The sequence below is a fragment of the Homo sapiens genome, chromosome 6 (genome assembly GCF_000001405.40).
Source record: "Homo sapiens chromosome 6, GRCh38.p14 Primary Assembly".
Taxonomy (NCBI): Eukaryota; Metazoa; Chordata; class Mammalia; order Primates; family Hominidae; genus Homo; species Homo sapiens.
This window is the reverse complement of record NC_000006.12, coordinates 93326133-93351329: the sequence shown is the minus strand read 5'-3', so window position 1 is coordinate 93351329 and position 25197 is coordinate 93326133. Positions and strand designations below refer to the sequence as shown.

The following is a 25197-nucleotide window of genomic DNA, read 5'->3' as shown; positions in this document are numbered from 1 at the left end:
AAGCAGGACCAAGCAGAGCAGGGCTGAGCTGTGATGGGGTCTCATTGGAATCATCAGCCAACTCCATGGGGAGTGCTCTACCTGTAATGAACCCTCAGGTTGTCCCTAGGTGACAGTTTTATACGTCTATGTTGTCCAGACATGGGTTGCAGTTTTTCCTAGGAGTGAGCAAGGTGTTACTTTTCAGAAAGGAAATTCTAAATGAGGCAGGGAACTGAGGCCTGTTTTCTGGCAAATATCTCGGCAGCTGGGCAAATAATTTCTTCAGTGCTTTTCTAAGGAGAATGTGGGCAGCCCATTACAATATCCATTATAGAGGGTTAAATTATGCAAAAGAATAAGAGTGGCAGCATTCAGAGTGTGATTATGGAATAATGGTATGAACTGGATGAATAAAGATTTGTGGGAAAGATTACTGGGGAATTTTTATTTTTAGGAAAAGAATCTTTTCTGATAGACAGCGGGGAAACCGGAGTGTTTTTGAACAGGAAAGTAACAGATTGACCCTGGTTTAACTTAAACTTTTGTGTATCTTCCGCAGTACATTTCACATATTACATATAGTCGTTTGTTAAAAAAAAAAATTCCTGCCTAGTGTTACTGTGGAAAAAATGTGCAAAACATACAGTTTCTGAAAATATAAGAAAGCTTCAAAGAATCTGCCATCAGGGTGTGGAGACATCTCAACTATCTTCAAAGGTCTCTTTAGAGTCTCTCAAAAAGAATTATGTTTTATCCCCATCATCAATTTTGTTGTGTATGGATGAATGATCTATATGACACTCACTCAGATTATATTAAAATTTGAACTAAATTTGTGGAGTTGTTAAGACAAGAACTGATATCATTTTAAAAGTAAAATTTTGAGGGTTCGAATGACTTTACAAAGGTCACACGGTAAATTATATAGTGATGACCCAAATGATTGCAATCAAATACACTTCTTACCTCAAAATTATTGTTTATGCAATCTTACCATAGAGTGCTATCTTTAAAAATGTAGCTCCATAATCCATTACACGAGAAATTGCAGATTGGTTTAATGGTCAGTGATAAGAGCTGTTAAGTGAAAAGGAGACCTACTAAGAAGTGTTATTTCCTGAGAATATTAACAAATGTAATCTTTGTGGGATAGCATTGCTAAATATAGCATTTGCCTTCTCATTACTGTTTTATTATCTTTCTTCAAGAAACTTTAAAAATAGCCTTGCATATTTTAAACTGACCGACTTTCCTGTGTTTTTCAATGCCCAGATCTAATTTCTCAGCCAAAATAAAGGTTTGCGTCAGTATTCCCTTTACTTTGATTTGTAATGTTTATATAATGTACCAGATGAAATATAACCTGAGTCATGTGATATAACATTATACATAAGCAAAATTATCCCCAAAAAAGACAAAACCAACAATCATTTTCTTTATTTGTCAGAAGTAGCTTCACTCACATGAATTAATGTGACTCAACTGTGACTGTTTTCTCATAAATTAACGTAGATCGTCTCTTTTCAATGATTTAATGGACACACATCAAGTTATATGTCTTTTAATAAGTAAATTAATTCCATTTAAATTTGTATATTTTTATACTTGTTAGGAATATATAAGATTGATTTATATTTTAAAGGAACATGATATTGAGAAAATATATTTTCTTATTTTAGAACATTTATTGGTTATATAAAGTAATATTAAACACAGCATTCTCCACAGGGTGAAACAAGGCATAATTGTTTTATCACTAGGTTAAAAATATATAAATGCAAAAAACAGGAACCATTTTGTAGAGATAGTGTTATTGTTATTAAAACATACATTCATATGTACACCTATGCCGTCTGCAGCAGAGAATCAATCGAATAAATTTCCTTTAACAGTAAACTGTTCAAAATATGCATTTCTGTTACATTTAGACATTTTATAAACCTGAGGTATCCGAAAGTGCAGGATTTAGTCATTCTAATTCATGCCCTGCAGGGCATGACATTTTAGTAATTCATATGCTTTGCTTAAACAAGGAGTAACTTTAGACTGTTAGTGAAATTTATTTAAGTATTTTTGTGACACCATAAATATGAAAACATATATATATAGATACATTTACATTTTTATTTAGTGGCTGTAAGTTATTAAAACATACAAAAAGGATGATATTTTAGATAACTATTTTAATAAAATTTTAATTAGGTAACATACTACCATGTTGACATTAATACTAATAACCAGGATTTATGTAGTGCTTAGTATAAAACATGTTGATTCCTTTACACGTAAAGGCCCATATGTTTGCACAGTATCTTCACATTCCGAATTTATCATGTAAGTTTAAGAGAAAATTACATGTTTCTGTGATATGGTCTTATACTAAGTGTATCATATATTTGTAATATTCTTCACATATTAGTTGTGAAAAGTTTATCTTTCCTCTTAGGCTTCATTAGGGGAAAATGGCGGTACCTTTGATCATACTCTCTAGCCCCATCAACATATTGGGCCCAGGGTAGATGGTTAGTAAATATTTGTTGGCTGAGTACATAAATTCTTTGTATACTGTAATATGCAAAGAAAATTTCTTAGACTATCTAGGTTGTTACAGAAGACATTAATTTAATTCAAATGATATAATGTTATTTAAATTATGCAATGAGTACATAAGTTAATAATTTCAAGTATAGTCATTTTGCAATTTGGTCCTAAAACTGTAAATATATTTAAAATCTTAAACTGTTTACAGCCATAATGTGGTATTTACACAGGAATTTTAAACAAAAGCTTAACCTTCTTATAAAATATTAAAGGTACAAATAAACCTTAACTTTGAAAACTTTCGTAATGCTTCATATTTTGAAAGCTTGTTGAAAATATAATTAATTTATATCTTTTATATAACATTGAATATGTAGAAGCACAGAGATCAGGATTGGAGATGCTTTCTTTAGTACCTAGGAACATAATATCAGCTTTTCATACATTATTTTAATATTTTTTATAGTTTGGTATATTTAGGTTTTAATATTTTTGTATTTTTTTTGGTTTGGTGACAGCTTTAAGGCTACAGCACATCACTGTGCCATGACTCTTCTCAATTAAAACATACATAAGGAAATACCTCTAAGTAACCTGTGTTCTCATCCCCACACCCTAATCTTGCCACCTCAACTCCCTGATCTCCAGTCCCAGTATCTTTCTGAGTTGTCAAAACTATCCTTTTCTGATATGGTTAATATTTGTAATGAAATAGGCTTATGTTGAGGTTATGGTGACAAGTTGATCTGCATACTGTTTAATGGACATGCTCTTAGTAGACTCTTGAAAAAATCCTAGTATAGAGTGTTTTAAGTTGCGTCTCATATTTCCAATTTAATGCTTCTTTATCTTTTCTTAAATTATTTGATCTTTGAATTGCTACTTTGTAAATAATGATGTTTACATACTTGGGAAACAAGAGTTCATTTTTTGCAATAACCCAGTTATTCTACTGCTGTGATGGAATTGTGTCCCCTCAAAATTCCTATGCTGAAGCCCTAACCCCCAATGTAACTGTATACTTTCCTCCACACACACTGAGAAAGGCCATGTGAGCACATAGCAAGAAGATGGCCATCCCCAAGCCAGAAAGAGAGGCTTCAGCAGAAACTGAAATCTGTTGGACCTTGACTTGGGACTTCTAGCCCTCAGAACTGTGAGAAAACAAATTTCAATTTAAGCCCCTCAGTCTGTGGTATTTTCTTATAGCAACAAATGCAGACTAATACTCATCCCTGAGATAATTTAATTCCATCCTGAAAAGTCTTTATTTTCCATATGCATGAGGACAGCTAAGGCATGTAAAATTTTATTTATGGGACAAGAAATGACAGTGGTAGAAATTTTATGCATTTTTATGATTTTTCCCCTCCAAAAAACCCTTAACTTGTTTAGTGCAGTACCTTTGTAAGTAGCAGAAAATGACCAATAGTAATGTTTTATTTTCAATGTCCAAGACAGGTTTTTATTTTTTAACAGAGCCAGTTAATCATCTAATAAATTTTAGAAGGTGATACATTGATGGTAACAGAACATCCAATATAAAAGTTATAATAAATTTTGTTCCCAAGTTTTGAAGCTTGGGTAAGTTTGTCAAATTCTTGGCAATTTTAACCTAATAATTTCTACAAGATTAAGAAGTCAGTACCATTTCAGGATTTTCTTAGGAAAAAGTGTTTATAGCTCTATATTTTGGAGATACAAATTTGTAATTTGCTAAATTTAAGCATCCTCTTCAAAAAATATGACTTCCCATTAGGATCATTATCCTGGAATAGTCCATAATGATGGAATTATGTAAAGTAATTCTTATTACATGCATTGCCCTTAATAGAAGATCGTTTATTTTGCAATTGCGAGTTTATGTAGTAGACATTGTAAGTAAGCTGAATATTCATCTACTAAAATAATATTTGCAAATAAATAGCCACTTTAGAGTAAAGAAGTTTGTAAGCTGAATATTCATCTACTAAAATAATATTTGCAAATAAATAGCCACTTTAGAGTAAAGAAGTTTGTTCAAGTGATATATAGAAAATCTGTTTTAAGTAAAATGTGACTAACTGGACCACATGCTCTTTACTTTTAGGGGAAAAATACAAAAAGCAAGTTAACAGGAGGAACTTAAATAAAATATGCACAGTTTTTCAGGGCATAACCTTAGGTAAATATATATTGAATACAGTCTCTTTTTCTGGAGATAGTAAACAATTATAAATCATAAAAAATAACAAATATGTTATATTTTAGTAATACCCTGCCAAGAATACAAACTAACACATTTGTAATAGGTTTCCAATATACATTGACTAAAGAAGTGTTTTTGGTTAATCCTTCCTTGACTGAAACCAGTTACCTGATTTGCTTGGTTCTATGGTACAAACAGGTTTTGTTCCATGAGTCATGAATTAGTTTTTATGTAGCTAGCTATCGTGCCCATTTCTCTAAGTGTTATTGAAGCGGTAGCATTGTGGAGACAGACGCAGTTTCAGAAAAATTTCATTTAAGAGCAAGAAATCAATAAGCTGCATTTCAGAGAATGAAAAGCCAATGGATAGTAATTTCATACATTATTCATGTAAAGACAAAGACACATAATATGAATTGGTAATAATGATGACGACAGTAGTAAAAACATGGGCCCATAAATTTTAAGTACATATTTAGGTTTTCCCCCAATCCCAATTCCTATGCACTGCCACTGTCAATCATATACACCATTTTCAGCCCTGGATCAGCTAAGGGACATAGCCTTGAAAGCTATGAAATGTAGGTGAAAGATAGGAGATTGTCTTTAAATTTGGACAAGCATTTAGTTGTTGTTCTGTTTTCACTACATGAGTTCAGAGGGAGTAAATGTTGATTATTTTATCCCTTGCTTCGTTGGTGATGAATTGAAGCAAATTTGATCCAGACAAGCAATCTGGTGGAATGATGCAGAGCCATCCAAAAAAACATCTGTACTAATCTACCAATGCAGTAAATTAGAGCTACAAGGAAAAGGCATTGATCCACAAGAATCATTAACAGTTTTAACCAACTGATCCAAGTAATAGGGTAAAGGAGAGAACACTATCAAGATCTTGTTTTTCAGATCTGTCAGTTACAACTGCTAAAGCATGATTGTTACTTGTTTGAATTTTAACTGTTTTTATGACTTTGGTTCCCTTTGTACTAGTGTAAGCAATGAACAAGGATCAATTAAGAACCCTGGGAAAAAATTACCCAAATTCTCTGCACTTAATTTACAAATAGGTCAATCACAAAGGGAGAGATAATTGCTGCAGCCTTAACAAAATTAGTCAGGGACAAGGCAGAGCAGATGATGTATGTTCTGTGGCAAAATACATGGCAGAGATGTACATACAGTCATGTAGCTGCTTGCCTTGTTTAAGACACAAGGACTACAGAGGAAGATTTGTGAAAAACAATTAGCATAGCTTTAAAGCATGCAGTTCTTAATTATCCATAGCGTGTTGACATCAGATAATTAGTGTCTTAATTTTTAATATTTCGTCATTAACTTCAGCATATAGAAAGATGCAGAACGTTGTCTGAGCATAGCATCCATAATGGAAATTGTATATGATGATAAAAACAAAACTGGTTAAGCCATATCACTATTGTATTATTCAAATACTGCTAATACTCTTAAACTCAGCACCCTTAACTCTAGTTACGTCAGACTATAACACTGTGAACTGATGTATTTATGTGTATAGACATGTATAGACAGTAATAAACATATGTTCTTTAACCTCATACATTTTATGAGTACATATATATTCCTAAGAGAATGGGCATTCGAATGGTGGTAGGGCTTAAATGTTACAGCTTTAGGAATCTTTTGCCTATAGATGGTGAGTTAATGAGTGGCCTCTCCGGGGAAGAGGAGTGGAGGTATAATTTAAAAGTGTGACAAAAAAGTTTTGAGAAAACAAATAGTTAGGATGGAAGAATCTCAGAAGCACATGACAAAGACCAAAGAGGGGTGGCCAGGCCAGTTGAATAAGGGGGCTGTCACAATTACCAAAGGAAGGGAAATTTTCTCATTAAGTTAATCATAGAATCAAGTGTCACAGGAGGTCAATAGAATGAAGACACAAGAAAGTCTACTGGATTTGAAAATTTGGAACCATGAGAAACAGTTTTTACTGATAACTTGAGGTAGAAACTATCATAATGATGTTTACCATGGTCAAAAGCAAAGCCTGACACTATGGCATACGTAGTAGAGTATTCAGCTCAATGATGGCTGAATTGAATTGTAATAGATTACTTTTTATGCTGATTTCATACAACATTTATCAGACTGGTAAAGACTTTAAGACAGAGAATGAGTCTGAATTATGTTTGGAAAAAATTACTGCCTTTGTTCTTTTCTAATACATTATCATAACCTTGTTTTCTCCTTGTTTTGACATCTCATCCTATTTTCTCACATCCCTGACATCACCAAGAACCCAAATATAGCCTCACACAAATTTCATTGTTGAGAACCTGATAATCTCAGAAATAAAGGTCATAAAAAGAAAGATGTTAATTGTACAAAGATAAACTATGCATTTATAACTATCTGTCATCTAAGATAGTATCATTAATATTAAATGCTATAACATCAAAGGACTGTTTATACACATCTAATACAGAGACTGTGTTATGCTAGATAGATGATAGATGATAGATAGATAGATAGACATATATCTCTTCTTTCTCCAGTAGATTTTAAATTATATGTCCCATATCATGTACTTGCCAATATAAAAAGTATAACCACCTAAAAATTTGGAAATTTTATTTTTGCTATGTGCAGTATTTGTTAATACTGATAAATCTTTTATTTTTAGACACATTTCCTTTATCTTTGAAAATTATATAAACAAAGAACAGAAAGCCATTATCTTATTTCAACAAATGTCAGATATTAATATAATTTGTAAGTGACTTCTGGTACACTTGCTGCATTAAACACTGGTGTTATGTTTGAAAATACAACAGCTGACCTCCTTTAGACTGCTGCCTGCCTACTTTGATGTTTCATTATTTTCTTCAATCCAAGGATGAAATGGATGAATGGATCTTAATTATAGTGTCCTGGTGACTCTTTTTTCGACCATTTTTCTGGACAAGCATCAGCTAATCTGACAAATCATGAACAGTTTACTTTATAGTTTGGCTGGGATTAAGTTACTAACTGGAACCTGCAGGGAACGCAAAAAGCAATGTCTCCTGATAAAATGCACTGGGTGTTTGCTATGCCTGTTTTCAATTTTAATTCATAACCTTTAGGAATGAAGAACTATAAACAGATAATTCTCTGACAGATATATTTTTATACACTTAAATTTATAGCACTTCAAACACAAACCCTGTATATCCAATTTACATATCTAAAATCTACATCATGTGTTTGACTTTGAATTTTTTTATTTCTGAAGTTTTCACTGTGTAAAAAGAGCTGCTTTGTAAATTTTTTTATGTAACACAATTTTAGAAATATTTCTTTCTTAGAACTAGGTTAAAACATCTGCAGTTATTATTTAAATTGCATGTAAGTGATTATAAAAATTTGATTATGTTTTAATTTGAAGTATTTTTATGTGATCCTGGGACAGATAGATTGTTGAAGGAATTTGAGTTCAAATTTTGGATGTTTTTCAAGTTTAAATTAAAAAGTATAAAGTTTTGGAAAAGTCAAATGACTATTTGAGGGTTTGTAGTAACTGTTGTAGATCAGTATTATTCAAAGTTTTCCAAAGAACAAAAAGTGTTCAACTTTTATGCTTAGGTTATTATTATTTCTTCTAATAGTAATTGATTTTTTTGTGAATTCCATATGCCATCTGCTGGATGACACGATTTTCTTGTTCAGCATGAAGTTTGTTCTTGCAGACAATATGTGTTTTCTTTACACATATCAGTAAAGACGTGTTCATTAGTTAGAGTAGGCAAATGAATAACATGTAAAGCCATATTTTCTAATAACTGTCATTTAATTGGATATTTTGTTTCATCTTTCTTCTCTTAGATGCATAATAAACATATATACGATAACTCAATATAGAAATTAGATTTAGTATCCTTCTAGGTAACTGAAATTACCCTGCCATCCTTATAAAACAGTATTTTTTATTGTTCTTACACTGTAAATAAATGTACTGGCAATAAAGAATTAACAGCACATCCAGGAGGACTTTATTTAATAATGACAATGTAAAATACTTCTTGTGCCATTCTATTTATCTAATTTATAACTCTATTTGATTACTCCAGCATGCCTTTATCTGTAAGAATTGCACCCTAGGGACTAGTCAACTTATTAATTCATCACTTGTCATTTTTTATGGTTGCAATCTCCATTATAGTATGAGCATAGAGTGATACTCTCTTCTGAAAGCTGCCAGCCAACTGGTTCCAGTCTAGGTGACCTTTTGTTTGTAACTATGGTCCTAATGGTTTTTCTATTGGCTTCTATTTCTAATAGATTACATTACAATCTACTTTTTTGTCTTATGGTATCATGATGAGGATAGGACAGCAAGAGTGAATTCCACACCTGCAATTACAGAGTTTTAAAAAGAGGAAAGACTTGCTTCAAGTTAACCTGTAGGCTTTTTAAAAAATGCCTTTTGATTTATCTGTCACCTGATCCATCAGCAATGAATAATTTTCATGGAAGGTGCACTTTAATTACATTCCCATTTGACTTGCATTATCAAGCCCTATCTAGGTAATTAATCTCACCAAGTATCCAATTTCGGCCTTTATTGCTGGCAGACAGACCTTCAGAATTATGTGTGCTTGAGTGGGTCTTGGGCCTTTTTCACCAGGCAGGCCCTGAAAGAGATCTGAGGCCTTCCAAATCTTGAAAGTATGCCTATGAATTTTTTCTCTTAGATATTGTGAATAAATTAAATTATATTTGGCATCACAAATATACTTCCATAATCAAAGAAACCTATAGATTATTATAATCATGAAAATGATATTAAAATTGAGTCACCTTTCACTTCTAGGTATAACCAATCTGCATGTCATTTTGTATGTAGAGGACCTGTGCTGAATTATTAACTGTAGCTAACATTTGTATCAGTTTGCTGGTGTAAGTTTGCAAAAGCTACCATCTAAACTTCAGCATGTTGGTTTAGTTCAGGATTTAAGGTTTATATGAATTGAAGTGAATTGGGGTTAAAGATGGTTAGATAAAATTAGAAACATTTACAATTAGCCTTGTACTTTAAATTCAGTTATATACTCTGTTTTCTATAACTTTCTTTATTCTGAATTAATAGATACCTCACTTTTTATACTTTCCTATCTTTTGATTTTCATAATTTCTATCTCTTAATTTCCGAAACTGATTAATGTCAAAGGTCAGTGATCCTAACAACTTAGTTGACACACACACACACGCACACTCAAAGTAAGTTTGAAATATAAAATTTGCCTTCTGTTGTAGTCTTATTTTATGATCTTGTGCAAAAATGCATAAATGTTTTATGATTTGTATATTTGGAAATTATGATTACTGTATATGTAATATTTTGCTTCTCTGAGAATATTTCAAGAAACCCTGGGGGTTCTCTGAAAATCAAATTAAAATATAGAGTAGATGGATTGGCTGTCTGTTTGAAAGTGACCTAAATATCTGCCATTATTTTAAGCTATAGATTGTCTGATTTGCAGAAGAGAAGGCAGTCCAATCTTTAATAGACTAAATAGGTTATAATGCTTACCCAGCAAGAATTTTGGAAAATTTGGACTGATGGTACTAGGAGAAAGGGTGAGTACTTTTCCAGTTTCCACTGTCATTCCTATGCAGGTGAGCCCATGAATCTCTGCCTCTTGCCCTGAGTTCTCTCACAGACTACTACCTGTATCTTCACAAGGCCATAGATTGTGATGGCATTTATAAGTGTTCCACTATAAAAACCAACTTTACACAGCTAACTTTGTTTTTTTTTCTCTCAATGTATAACTTTAATTGGACCTTTTGATTTTTACAAAAATAATTGAAGACATATAATATGGATTTCTAAAACATTTAACATTTCTTTGTAAAAATCACATGGAACTTTTTACCCAAGTATTAGTTTCCCTTGTCATTTAGAAATAAATCTTCAATTTTTAAAAAGTGGCTTACTTGCAATTATATATAGAAACGTTTTACTACAGGTTGAGTGTCCCTTATTTGTAATGCTTGGGACCAGAAGTGTTTCAGATTTTGAATTTTTTTTTGGAGTTTTGTAATATTTGTATTATACTTACTGTTCCCAGTCTAAAAGTACAAAATCCAAAATGATTGAATGAGCATTTCCTTTGAGCATCATTTCGGTGCTCAAAATTCTTTTTAACTTTGGAGCATTTTGGATTTTAAATTTTCAGATCGGGTATTCTAAACCTGTATCCATAATATTTCTAGAATGAAGATGTGATAATTTAATAATGTTTTCATTAGATACATTCATGATAATTGTTTACAAACCACACAGTAGGTTAACTCAGAATTTAAATTGGTCAAGAAGATTCATTACTGAATGATTTACTATTGTGAATTCTGTAGTAAAGTTTATGTATGCACATACACATATACACACGTATACATACACACTCAGATATGTATATATCCTGTTTGAATATATATGAATTCATATTTTACATTTTTAAAGAAATTGTTTTGTTTATATAGTATTGACATACTTCCTGTAATAATCAGGCATATATAGCTAAACAAAGAGTTTGTGGCTTATTAACATCTGTCCCTATGTTTATTTCCCTTTGGAACCTAGGAATCATGAGAATTTATATTTCTCAGTAATTGTTATTGTTCCCTGTAACACCATTTTGAATTGGAATATGGCGAATATAATTGATCTGACTTATATAGATAAAGGGAGAGATTATTTGTACATTGTATAGTAAATAAATAGGGTCCAGTTTAGTATTTAGGAATGATTTGTTAACCAGAAACATTCCCCAAAGTTATTTTACTTTTGTATATTCTTTAGACATATGTTTTTTCAATGTATTGACATGCCAAAAATATGTATTGCCTGGGCTGTTTACATAGTCAATAAATATATCGAGCCCAGTGGATTATTTTTCTATATCAAAATAAAATCAGTTTCTATGTAATAATGCATCTAGAGAAAAATAGACATAAAAGACATATCAGAGAAATTGGACACTGAATTTAGAATCAAAATGTTTGAATCCCAGGTTGATCAAGTTGTTTTTTGACCTTGGGCAAGTAATGCAATCTCTTTATCTTATTAGTTAATCTCAGTATTACATGAAGCAATATATGAAAAAATGTTTTATAAAATAAAAACCTCATTCAGTTATGAGTTAGTGGTGTTGATGTAGTAGAATTGAATTCTTTGCTATAAATTTAACTGTGGCAAAGTGCAGTTTTGGAAAAAGTAACAAAATAATGCTGATTATTATACAAGATTAATGTTGTCTTCAGTCTCACAATATGTAACCCTCTCAATAACCGGGACTACAAAAGAATAATAAATCGTTGACTATTCTTTAAACAAGTAATGTTGACACTTTTAAATACCAATCTCTAGGCAAAATTTTACCAATTAATGAGTTGTATTAGATATAATCAGTTTCTAAAAATGAACTTTGAATTCTGAAGACACTATCTCCCAATAAATTAAAAACTTATTTTATTGCCAGTTTTTGTATTATATGTTTTTAAAAATGATGCTAAGTGTTCATGTAAAATTTTATTCCTGTACACTTTGAGAAATTGTTATTTAATAAAATGTTGGTATCCTACGGTATTATATGTGTGCATATATTTATATAAAATTTAATATTTATTTAATTTAACATAAAATTTGATTATCTCTCTGTACATATAGATATAGCTATAAGGAGAGATATATAATATAGAGATATATAGAGATATGTAATATGTATTACAATATATAATACATATGATTTTCTTCTCTATCAGACTACAGGACCTCTTCCATCATTGCACTCAATTTATATCATGTTTTGAGGTTAGATAGTATAACTTTGGAAGACAATTATTTTAAAGGGGAAAATTGAAAAGATTCTAAAGATCAACTCTCTGTAGCTGTTTTAAGTTTTTAAGATATATTCTGTATCTCACCTCCATTAAACAAATAAAAGAATGAAAAATAACCATTTTATTGTTTCGATTATTATTTAATATTCAGGTATAATTGAGAACTTTGAGGAAATTTTAAACATTTGTGAACATCTATTTTTGAAATTTAAGCCTATTTATAGCCAAACTGGGCAAAAAAGAAACATGATTTATTGGAATACCGATTTGGAAAGAGAGTTGAATTTCAATGGTTCAGAGGTGACATAGGAATCACAAGCAGAATATCCCTCTGTAACTTTGTAGGAGCTTCCAAGGTACCTGAAAGTCACTCTCTTATTTAATATATTTGATTGGTTTTAAGCTATTGAATCCATACACACTAACACATACACCCTGCTTAGACTATTTCAAACTATTAAATGTAAAAAGCAAGAATTAGGAAGCTGAAGAATGTAAAACACAAGAAAAGAGAGAGAAGAGAGAAGCATGTGATTTCCTCAAGCACTCTGAATTTGGATGGAATTGCATATGAATGACAGCAGTCCCAGACTTTCCTTAACCGCAGAAAATTGTTTTTTCTTTTACATTTCTACTCCCAGAGGCTGTTGGTGGGGATTTGGGGGCAACATGATGATATTCTTAGGCTTTCTGTTCAAGACTTTTGTACTGTTTGATGAGTTATCTCCCTTTTGTTCTCTCCCTCCCAATGCTTCTTCTTCCCTCCCTCCTTTTCTTTGTCTCCTTCCCTCTTTTCCTCACCTCCCTCCATCCTCACTCCATTTCTTCCTTCCTGTTTGTTTTGGTGGTAAGGAACTATGTACAGAGGAAAAAGCATGCTACAATATGAAATCATTATTCCAGTGTCACAAGAGTCATATAAACGGTGAACAAAGAGCAAGCTGTTCCTGAGAATTCATTTATTTGCTTCCAGGATGCTGCTGCTTTTTCCATCCTGTGATACTTACTTCTCTTTCTGAGGTATATCTAACTTGAGAGCTCCAGGTTTGAGATCAGTGGTGAGAACAACAGGCTTGTCTGTGATACTCTACTGTTTGACATAGAAAAATATTGAAATATTTTCTTTTCCTGCCAGCTCTCTATGAGAGAAATCTCTCAATTATCTACTGAATATGTTTCAACAAATCTGAGTGAGTTTCTTTTAAAGTAGTTGTTTGAGGCCCTTTGAAAATAGATTTTCTTTCCTTTGACACTTATACATTCTTGTAAACAAAATACAGCACAATGCCCAAACTGATTTTATGTTTATACAAGTACTTTTTTTCTAAGGGTAGAATTGGTCAAAAAACTATCCACAGAAAATTAGGTCTCATTTCTAATCTATATTCCAGAGAATAAAAATAGACTTTTGTTGCAGCCTTGTGCAATCAGTGTGTAAAGACATTCACTTACTAAAAGAACTTGTGATTCTGACCTTTTGGAAATGGTGTGCAGTCACTGGAACCTTGCTTTTGATCACTGGTAATCTTTGACATTATTGAGCAACCTTATCCTTGTGGATCTTTCTTCAGTGTTCTGGGTCAGTCTCCCATGGGAGAAAAGTGGAACTTTGAATTGCGGATTTGAAAACACAGCAGCAATATTCTCTTCTGTTGTTTAAGGTATTTTCTGTGAAGATTCTCACTGTACTGACTGTGCATTCAGCCAAACACAGTAAAACAAAACCAGCAGCCACTTTTAATTAGTCATTGATACTTCCTTTTTATGTCTTTTTTCTAACTACTTCAAACTGCCACCCCTATAGAGGGCAAACAAAAGGAATAGGTTGGCTGATAAAAGCTTCTTTGTTTTTCCTTTTTTTTTTTACAAAAATAATACTTTGTAAACTATCCAATTTATATTACTCCACTGATCCTTCAAATTTATGGTAAAATTGTTAAGTTGGAAGAAGGATGCCATTCAAAGCAAGAGGTTACTCTTGGTTACTTGAGCAGTGGCTGCTATTGGAACTGGTATTGGGGATGAACTATTCACTTCTGTTCTTAAAAGGGTAAAAGGAGCTGGGCAGGGTGGCTCATGACTGTAATCCCAGCACTTTGGGAGGCCAAGGCGGGCAGATCACAAGGTCAGGAGATCAAGACCATCCTGGCTAACACAGTGAAACCCCGTCTCTACTAAAAATAAAAAAAATAGCTAGGCGTGGTGGCACGTGCCTGTAGTCCCAGCTACTCGGGAGGCTGAGGCAGGAGAATCACTTGAACCCAGGAGGCAGTGGTTACAGTGAGCCAAGATCGTGCCACTGCACTCCAGCCTGGGCAACATAATGAGACTTCATCTCAAAACAACAACAACAACAAAGTGTAAAAGGCTTTGAACAGTTGTACATTTGACTGCCCACTACACTTTCAAAGTGAGATACACATGAAATCCAAGCAATTTGTAACATATGAGATATGAAGAGAATCTGAAACTTTCATGTATACCTTGCATTTGCCTCGTTTTCTGATGCTAAACTCATTGAAGAGGTTGTGAGAAATATTTTATTGGGCAACCTTAAAATATAAGTTATGTGATGATTATATATTATTTTTCTTTCTTGTATTAAAATACTTTTATTCTAGTAGTAGGGTAGCAGTAGGCTTGAAAGTTTTAGTGCTCAATGTACTACATGAACTATTTTTTAAACACTACTTTAAAAAGGCTTTTAAAGGTACATCAATTATAATGAAACATTATCCAATATGTTTTGGGTACCAAGGATAGTACTTGTGCCTCTCTTGTAGGTTATAGCAAGAAAGATTCATTATATGTCTCTCATATACTGGATACATGTTCAGATCTCTATCCAGCCATTTCTGGATTATATCAAGAAATGAATTAGATAATTTCACTATGTGTGATTTGAATTTTAATGATCTCTTTCTAAATAGAAAATTTTCCATTTGTCTATTTAAATTTTCACAAAATACAAAGAAAAATAATGTAATTTATTGTTACTCATACCACAATAAGAAGCTAATAAGGATTCAAAGAGTGTAGTTTCCATGTCTGTATTTTAATTGTTATAGATAGATAGGAATGGGATTAAAAATTTAAAAAAAAAATGAAAACTGTGGATGATTATTACTGGTTAAGTTATGGGTCTAACAGGTTATTCCTTTTTGCTCCTATTTTCCCACTACTATTCTACATCTTTGCTGGTGGTCTCCCTTCTAAAACACAGGTGCTTTTTAAAAATATAATTATTTCACTTTTTAAAAAGTATTTCCTTATGTCCTTAATGATACTGAGAACTTTAACAAATCCTTTGGAATTATAATATAAATACCAATGAAACTGTAAAATTTGAAATATAATTACTGTGCCAGGTTTGGTCAGGGCAAAACACTTACATTACAACCCTACACGGATAGTGTATCACATATGTTGATGATTATGTTTTACATTAGATGAAAAATCTCATTTTGTTCTAAAACTAAAAACAGAAGTAGAATAATTTTTATAATATTTCTTGAATATCTCCCATTTTTGGAAGCAGAAAAAAGTAAGACTAGATTGACGTAAAATACATTGAAGGATACATTCTGGTCTGTTAACACTTAATTGACCCTCTAGGAATCAAACTTGCGATAGTTTTGTGAGGAATATGTTATTACTCCAAATGCTGAGAGAAGTTAAACAAATTGCCGAAGGTGATAAAGCCCATACAGTTGCTGGGTGAGACAACACCTGAGGTTATATGGGTCTGTGGCCTGTCTTGTTGCCTTCTAGGTTATTTATTTCTTCCTGTCCTTGATTTTCACACTTGTGTTGTCCTATTTCTGGGGAAAAAAAATCAATTCTAATAAAAGTGATGCATACTAATACTGGAAAATTTTAAAATATGAGCTACACATCGCAATCTTTACTAGTTTTGGATTAAGTTTAAAGGTGAAACATGCAAATATGTTCATGGTTATCAGAGAATGAAATGGATTTGCATCACTCGTTTAACCTTGATATTTGTGGATTTGAGTCAGAATAGCCTAGTTATAATGCATGGAAAAGCCACAGGGATACAGTTTTCTATGCACAGTAGCAGAAATGCTAACACCTTAATGTGCTTCTTTGGAGATATTTTTTTCTACATTATATATTAAGTTTGTTCTCTAGTAGTTGGAAAGTGTTTTAGATTGTAGGTATTATATATGCTGGTTAGAGAATTATCTTTAGAAATATAAAATTAGTTTAAGTTCCTAATAGATTCTGGCTATTAGATTTTTGTTGGATGCCAAATTTGCAAATATTTACTCCCATTCTGTAGGTTGTCTGTTTACTCTCTTGATAGTTTCTTTTGCTGTGCACAGGCTCTTTAATTACCTCCCATTTGTCAATTTTTTTGTTGCAGTTGCTTTTGGCATCTTCATCATGAAATCTTTGCCAGGGCCTATGTCTGGAATGGTATTTCTTAGGTTATCTTCCAGTGTTTTATAGTTTTAGGTTTTACATTTAAGTCTTTAATCCATATTGAGTTTATTTCCGTATACGGTGTAAGGAGGGGGTCCAGCTTCAGTCCTCTGCTAATCAGTTATTCGAGCACCATTTATTGAATAAATAGTTCATTCCCCACTGTTTGTTTTTGTTGACTTTGTCAAGGATCAGATGACTATAGGTGTGCAGCTTTATTTCTGGGCTCTCTATTCTGTCTAGTTTTGTACCAATACCATGCTGCTTTGGTTACCATAGCATTGTAATATAGTTTGAAGTCTGGTAACATGATGCCTAGAATTGTCCTGAGTAAGTCAGCTCTTTTTTGGTTCATATGAATTTTGAAATGGTATTATCTAATTATGTGAACAATTTCATCGGTATTTTGATAGGAATAACACTGAATCTGTAAGTTGCTTTGAGCAAATGGCCATTTTAACAATATTGATTTTTTCCTATCATTTAGCATGGAATGTTTTTCTATTTGCTTGTGCTATCTCTCATTTCTTTCAGCAGTGTTTAGTAATTCTCATTGTACAGATCTTTCACCTGTCTAGTTTGCAGTATTAAACAATCCTATTACAAAGTGGGCAAAGGACATGAAGAGATGCTTTGAAGAGAACATACAGGTGGCCAGCAAATACATAAAAAAATGCTCAACATCACTAATCATTAAAGAAATGCAAATCAGAATTGCAATGAGATCTCCCAACAGTCAGGATGATATCATTAAAAACTCAAAAAATAACAGATGCTGGTGAGGTTTTGGAGAAAAACTTATACACTGCTGGTGGGAATGTAAATTAGTTCAGCCATTGTGGAAAGCAGTGTGGTGATTTCACAAAGAACTTAAAACAGAACTATCATTTGATCCAACAATTCCATTATGGGATATATAATGAAAGGAATATAAATTATTCTGCCATAAAGAGACATGCATGCGTATGTTCGTCACAGCACAATTTACAGTAGCAAAGTCATGGAATCAACCTAAATGACTATCAGTGTTAGAGACTGCATGGAGAAAATGTGGTGCATAAATGCCATGGAATACTACATAGCCTTAAAAAAGAATGAGATCATGTTCTTTGAAGCATCATGGATGGAGCTGGAGGCCATAATCCTAAACAAATTAATGCAGGAAAAGAAAACCAAATGGTACATGTTCTCACTTACAAGTGGAAGCTGAACACTGAGTACAGAGAGACACAAAGAAGGGAATGACAGATATCAGGGCTACTTGAGGGTGGAGTTTTGGAGGAGGGAGAGGATCAGAAAAAATACCTGTCAGATACTATGCTTATTACCTGGGTAATGAAATAATCTGTACACCAAACAACCATGACCCAAAATGTACCAATAAGACACCTGCATATGTACCCCTGAATCTAAAATAAAAGTTTAAAACGATATAAATTTAACATAAAAATAAATATGAAATTAGTTTCTATTATTTTGATGAATTTGAGCCAGCATTTCTTATGTTTAAATTAATACTCTGCACAAGTTAATTGCTTTAAATCTGCCATATCACGATGTTGATCATATCAGTTTATTTGAAATTCAAAAATACTCTAAATCATATTTTTTACTTAATTGTATTGAAATTTTAAGGCATTTTCTGAAATAGCTCTTGCTTTTGTCTTCAGAATTTGAGATGTATTAATCCAATGTGCACAATAAACAATGTTTTTATAAACTTGTTTACTTTTGTCATGCACATATATATTACCATATAGCACAAAAATTAAATTTAACATTATAATTGAGTTCCTATAAATTGCATATAAAAATATATAAGCCACTTAGCAAAGAGAGAGATGGAATTTGTAATATAAGTATGTATCAGATAAAAGATTACAAGTATACAAAGCTCATGTTCTGTAGATAACTGTTCATTATTTATAGTACTTACTAGAAATATAATTTGCCTGAGTTGGGGTGAAAAGAGTTATAGTTACCATTATTGTACTTATTTTATTTTATTAACATTTTTATCAAATTATTGCTTTTCTCAAGTTTTTTTGTTTATTTTTTGCTTGCTTTATTCAGTTCTCCTTGTCACCTTCCACCGGGTCCACTGAGCTCCACTGTACTACACTTAATCTTAGCCATGATGCTGACAAGCAATTGAGCTTCACTGTAAATACACTTTGAAACCAATTCTGTGAGAATATTTTTAAACAAGTGCTATTACTAAAAGTCTTATCAAAAGTCAAGTACCTGTTTCCCGTGATATCAGTGAACAACAAAAAAGTCAAGCACCTAACAATGTCAGGTGTGTAGCAGTTGTATAGTATGTATTTTTCTGAGAAAATAGATTAATATATTATTTCTATTGAACTGAACTGTGTGAGGCAATGTGGCATGTTGTCTACATTTGCCTTAAAGCAGAGTTATATAATGAAAGCCTATTAATTCAGCCTTTGCTTGTGGATGCTATGAAAAGATAAAATGACATAGTGGTTTACAATAGTAGCTGAAAAATAGAAAGTACGTATCTTTGAAGAAATAATTAATTGATAAACTAAACAAGGTATAATATGGTTGAATTGCTATTTGCCACACACATACAAATTACATGGGGAAGTTATTGGATGAGAAAGCAACATTGCCTCAATTGTTTGTATATTTCATGTAAAGTAATAATTTGTCCTTAGGTATTCAGATGATTTCCTTAACTCTCCATGATCATTTCTTTGAAAAAATGTTTATGTGTGTACATGAAATAAATTTAGTATGCATTCTAGACAGAATCTCTGTTTCTAAATAAGTTATAAATCAAAAAGTAAGACTCATGTCTAGGTTTGGTTTTTAAAAGCTCTGAATTTTTTTTTTTGTATTTTTCTGCTAAATATATAATCTGCATATTTCAGGAAGGCATGTATTCAGGAGTTGCAGAATTTGGAAAGGGATTAAAGGTAAAGAAAACTGAGAAAAGACCTTTGTGTTTAGCAAGAAAGATATTATTGAAGATCTTAAAAAACACGATTTTATTATAGTGGTGTGACTATATATGTGGAATATAAAACTAGGGAGACTTGTTTAGGCCATCTCTGTTTACTTCTTTTCTTAAAATACAGTGATATCCTTCATTTTTAATATTGTAACTTATACTTTTGTTGCCAAAGTTATAACTAAACTTTTACAGATTTACTGCATTTCCATGTTGCTAATTTTACAATTTGGCATCTGCAATACTTTTCTCCAAATAGCCATTAGTTTATCAAAATGTTTGACATATATGCCCACTCTTGACTGTGAACCTAAACAGACCGATCATCTAATGAAAAGCCAGTTAAGAAATGTTCAATATTGTGGGTAGGTGTGCATGTTCTCCATACAGCAAAGTCCTAAGATCAGTTATAGAGTAAGGAGTTAATAAATGCTTTACACCTTTTGAAATGCCTTCTCAGCTGATACCCAAGGTAACATAAAAAAGAGAAAAGTAAATATTTTGCCCTTGGAGAAAATGCTGTTGATTGGCTTGGATAAATAACTTTCAGAAAGGAAATCAGCATATTGAAGAGCTATCTGCACCCCTATGTTTACTGTAGCACTATTCACAATAGCGAAGATATGAAATCAACCTAAGTATCGATCAACAGGTCAATAGATTTTTTAAATGTGGTATATATCTACATAATGGTATACTATTCAGCCATAAAAAAGAAAGAAATCTGGTTATTTGTAGCAATGTTGTTGAGCCTGGAGGACATTATGTTAAGTGAAATAAGTGAGGTACAGAAATACAAATACTACTACATGTTCTCACTTATATGTAAGGGCTAAAATCTTTAATAGAAGCAGATAGTAAAATAGTGGTTACTGAGAAGGTTAGGGGAGAGAGGAAGATAGAGGTTGGTTCACATACACAAACTTATAGCTATATAAGAGAAATAAGCTATGGTGTTCTATAACACTGTAGTGTGATATAGTTAACAATAATTTATTTTATATTTTCAAATAGCTAGAAGAGAGGATTCTGAATGTTCCCAGCACAAGGAAATGATATTAACAAATGTTTGAGGTAATGGATATGCTAATCAATCTAATTTCATCATTACACATTCTATACTTATATCAAAATATCACTGTGTACCTCATAAACATGTAAAATTATTATGTGTCAATTAAAAAGAGTCACTTTCATCCTATGATTACCATTTTGTGTACTGTTTGAAAACAATTTAATTGCTATGTTTGACATTGTATAACAAGAATTATTTCAAATTCTTTAGTTATCTCCTTCTCTCATTCCACTGACTGTGGCATTTTTCTCAATTCCTCCAAAATATAGTTTTTCTTCTAACTAGTGTAAAAAGATAAACCTGCTTATACTTTAGGTGAGAGTTTACATTGCTAATAATTAATTAGTATTCTTGTTCAGTATCTTCTGCTCCAAGAATGAGTCTTTGTTGTTTTTGTTTTTTTTAATTTCACTTCAGCTGATGAGTGTAATGGAAAGAAGATGGGCTGTGAAGCAAGAGTCTTGTTTTCACTTTCCAGTTCTGCCGCAGTCTCCTTGTATAAAGTAGAACATATGTATAACAAAAGTATTTATACAAAATATAATTTAAAATATTTGAGACAATAAGATTATTTGAGAAAATCAATGAAGTTACTAAGTTTATTTAGTCAGTCATACTCTATAATGGATACAATGTATTCTTTAAGCAATGTCTCCTTTTTTAAAAAAAGTATACAAAGAATAGCTGTGTTGGAAAAGTATTTGAAAAATCAAAGATGTCAGGATTCATACACAGTTCATGGCATAGCACTCATGTTCTTTATTAGGTGTGAAGTAAAATTCTTGGAACAGTTCTTGGCCCATATGCTGTTGCTAGTTAGCATGTCTAAAAATGATAATTGTATTTTCATATTTACATTAATATTGCTTATAATCTGGCTTATATACTAATTAACAAAAGCTTTTAAACTTTCTGTTTGAAATAAATAACGATTAGCAATTAAACATTTCAGTTACTTCTGATTTTAAAAGTATGATAAATGTTTAGTGGCCAGTGTCTCATTCAGAACTTGTAGGTCATACTCTGCAGTTATTTATCTTTGGTGTGTATTACTTATATTATTACAATGCAGATCTGAAGAAAGAGGATTTTCATTCAGTCTGACACTAAAATATAAAATTCTTAAAGGAAACAAAAGTTAAAAGTTATTGGTAATGAAAAAAATACCCTACATCACTTTATTCACTTTAGTTCCCTGAAGAGTTAGTTATTTGTGTGTATATGTTATTGTTAAAGTTATTTTTAATATTAACAGATGAATATGGATTTTTATAATGCAGTTTTGGTTAATTCATTCTGCAAAATGTGACCTTGACTTGCTGTTTTTCTCTTCCCTCCTTAATAATGTTATCTTTAAATTAGAAAATAGTACTTTTCATATTTGGTCTATTTTATTGTATAATCAAAGTATTATTTTGCCCATGTAGTCTTTTAAGGAGACCATGCCATTTTCTATTCCTCTTTCTCCCTATTATTTAAGATATGTGCTTAGAGGGAGCACATTGATTATGTAGGGCTTCTATGAGAATTCGCTAATGAGAATATATTATTACCCAGATTGAATAGTGCCCCTTTGATGCATTAAAATTGCCATGACTCAGGAACCAATGTCCTAGGAGAAATCTTGGTATCCAAGATAATAAAGTCAGGTAAGAAAGACCAGATTACCTCTATTTTGGGTGAGGAAAGATGATTAAAGTATGACTTATGATGCACTTTAGAAAAGTGTGGATTCCATCATGCCAAAACATTTCCCAGCTGGCTAATACTTGAAAAGTCACCAGTGAAATGTTTTCCCTTAAAACTCTCATATATTGTTGTATCATTCAAAGATATTTATTCAGCATTTCACATGTTTCATACATTACTCTAGATGCTGGGAAAAGCTATAGACAAAAAAAGAAATCTCTGTCTTTAAAAAGTTTCTAGTAGAAGTGGAGTGCAAGTAGAACAGACAGAAATATACTAAATGTGTAAAATATAAAAAATTAGATGATGTTGTTCAAACAAAATACATAGGAAAGCCATGAATGGAGTGTCAAGGGATTACAGTTTTTAAAAATTTCCAGGAAAGGCTTTATTGGAATGACGTTTGAATAAAGGCCTGAGTGAGATATGAAAGCAAAGCCAAACGGAAGAAGAGTGTTCTGGACAGAGAGAACAGCCTGTGCAGGTCCCAAGGAAAGAGCATGTTTAGCATGTTCAGTGGGGGAGATAAGTGTATCTGGTGTGAAGAGAGAAAGGAGGAGAGTAGAATAAATGGAAGTTGGGTGTTAACAGAGTTGCAAGGACACACTGTGTTAGACCTTGCAAGTCATTATAACCACTGGCTTTAGATGAAGACTGAAAGCCATTGGAGGGATTTAAACGGAAGAATGACATGAATATACTTTCATAACCATCTCATTAACAATCTCGCTGCTGTGTTAAGAATAGCTAAGAGGGGTTCTCAGGAGCAAGAGATTAGTTTAGGAGGCTATTGCAATAATCTAGAAGGTGGCTTTCACTAGGGTGGTAGCAATGGAATGGTAGGGAGTAGTGAATTCTGAATCCATTTTGAATACAGAGTCAACAAGATGAGCACACTGAATGTGGAATATGACAGAAAGACAGTGGCCAAGGGAAGCCTTGAGTATTTTAAACCTATGCAACTTTTGAAAAGATGAAATAACTAGTAACTCTAGACAGAAAAATTTGTGGGAGAGACAGGTTTGAAGAAGTTTAGGAACTCAGTTTCTGTCATGCTATGTTTAAGATGCTACAGTTGCCTCTAGTTTATGTGTGATATTGGGGTTAATTATGTAAATCTGGAGTTTTCAGCATCGACATGGAATTTAAAGTCATGAACTAAATGAGATAAAAGGAAGTGAGTATAAATAGAATAAAAACCAGGGTTGAGGTGTGAGTGCCAGGGCACTGGATGATGAAGAACAATCAGGAAAAGTGACAGAGAATGAATGGCCATTGAGATAATAGAAAAATTCAATTTGATGCTCAGAAAGCAAAGAAAGTTATTTCAAGGAGGAGGCAATGATCTGTCCCAAATGTTGATAGCTCTGCAAGGTGAGGAGTGAGAACTGAACTTTGGATATAATCAATTCAGTATGAGTCTAGTGGCCATCAGAACATCTCATGTGTCTTAGACTGCACTGATTTATAGAGTAAAGGTGGCTGATACTCAGCTCTGCTCGGCACATGCCACTTCCAACTGGGAATATTGTGCCCAATTCTAGATAGCACAGATTAACCGTCATACAAATGTATTTTAAAGTGATGGGAAATATGAGGTAACTCACAATCATGTAAGATGGATACCAGTTGAAAGAATGGGTTTGGCTAAGTTGGAGAAAACTAAGAAGATACAACAATAAAAATTTGCAGCTTTATATCTTAGAAAGTTCTTTCTTATATTCAGTTACAATATGTCTTTCTGTTGTTTCTGCCCATTCATTGATGTGCTTAATAAATATTAAGCACCTGTCATGAGTCATTCTGCTCACCGCTGGATGTGTGTTAGTATGAAATAGACAAGATTCCTCTGTTCACAGAATAGATTCTCTGAAAGATTTTAGTCCAAACACGTCATATGCTATGATGGGATCCCAGGATCTATTCCTGTATTAGCAGGAAACTCACTTGCTAAAAACAATGAAGAGGAGAGACCTTACCTTTCAGTTTCAGTGAACAAATAATTTCTTAGTTTTAAAACTTGCTTCTACTTATAATTTTCAGTGAAACTGGAAATCTTCACATAGAGATAATTTTAGGTCACTTTCTAGTCAGCCTTTCTCCTAAGTAAGTTCTAGTTATGCCATTCATTAGATATTTAACAGTTAACACAAGAAACTATCTTCGTATATTTTATATAAATAGAGCATTCATTTAAAATCACTCTTTAATATGTTTAAGATGACACTGAATGTTGTGCAGTGTTTTATTGAAATTAGGGTTGTGATTTTACTTGTTTGTTGAATACTTATTGAGTGCTTACTGTATGCCAGGTAATTTGCTGAGGGCTGGATATTCAGTGGTGACATGAACATAGCCTCTCATGGAACTTAGACTATAGGGAGAGACAGATTTTAATCTCTTTCCTTTTTACTTCCCACTATTACCACGGCATAATTC

General features: G+C 32.3%; 1 protein-coding gene across 12 annotated transcripts in view; it reads left to right on the top strand.

Moving 5' to 3' along the window:
* EPHA7 (EPH receptor A7) overlaps positions 1-25197 on the top strand; it is a 179540-nt gene that overhangs the window by 68230 nt on the left and 86113 nt on the right. The window contains exon 6 of one of the 12 annotated variants that reach the window (XM_017010366.3): positions 7583-12317. The exons of 10 other annotated variants lie outside the window; for them this stretch is intronic. In XM_017010366.3, coding sequence (XP_016865855.1) covers positions 7583-7587 — 5 coding nt within the window. In that variant the 3' untranslated portion in view covers positions 7588-12317. Of the gene's footprint in view, positions 1-7521; positions 12318-25197 lie in introns of those variants that run through there. One more of the 12 variants, NM_001376469.1, reaches the window with a different exon arrangement.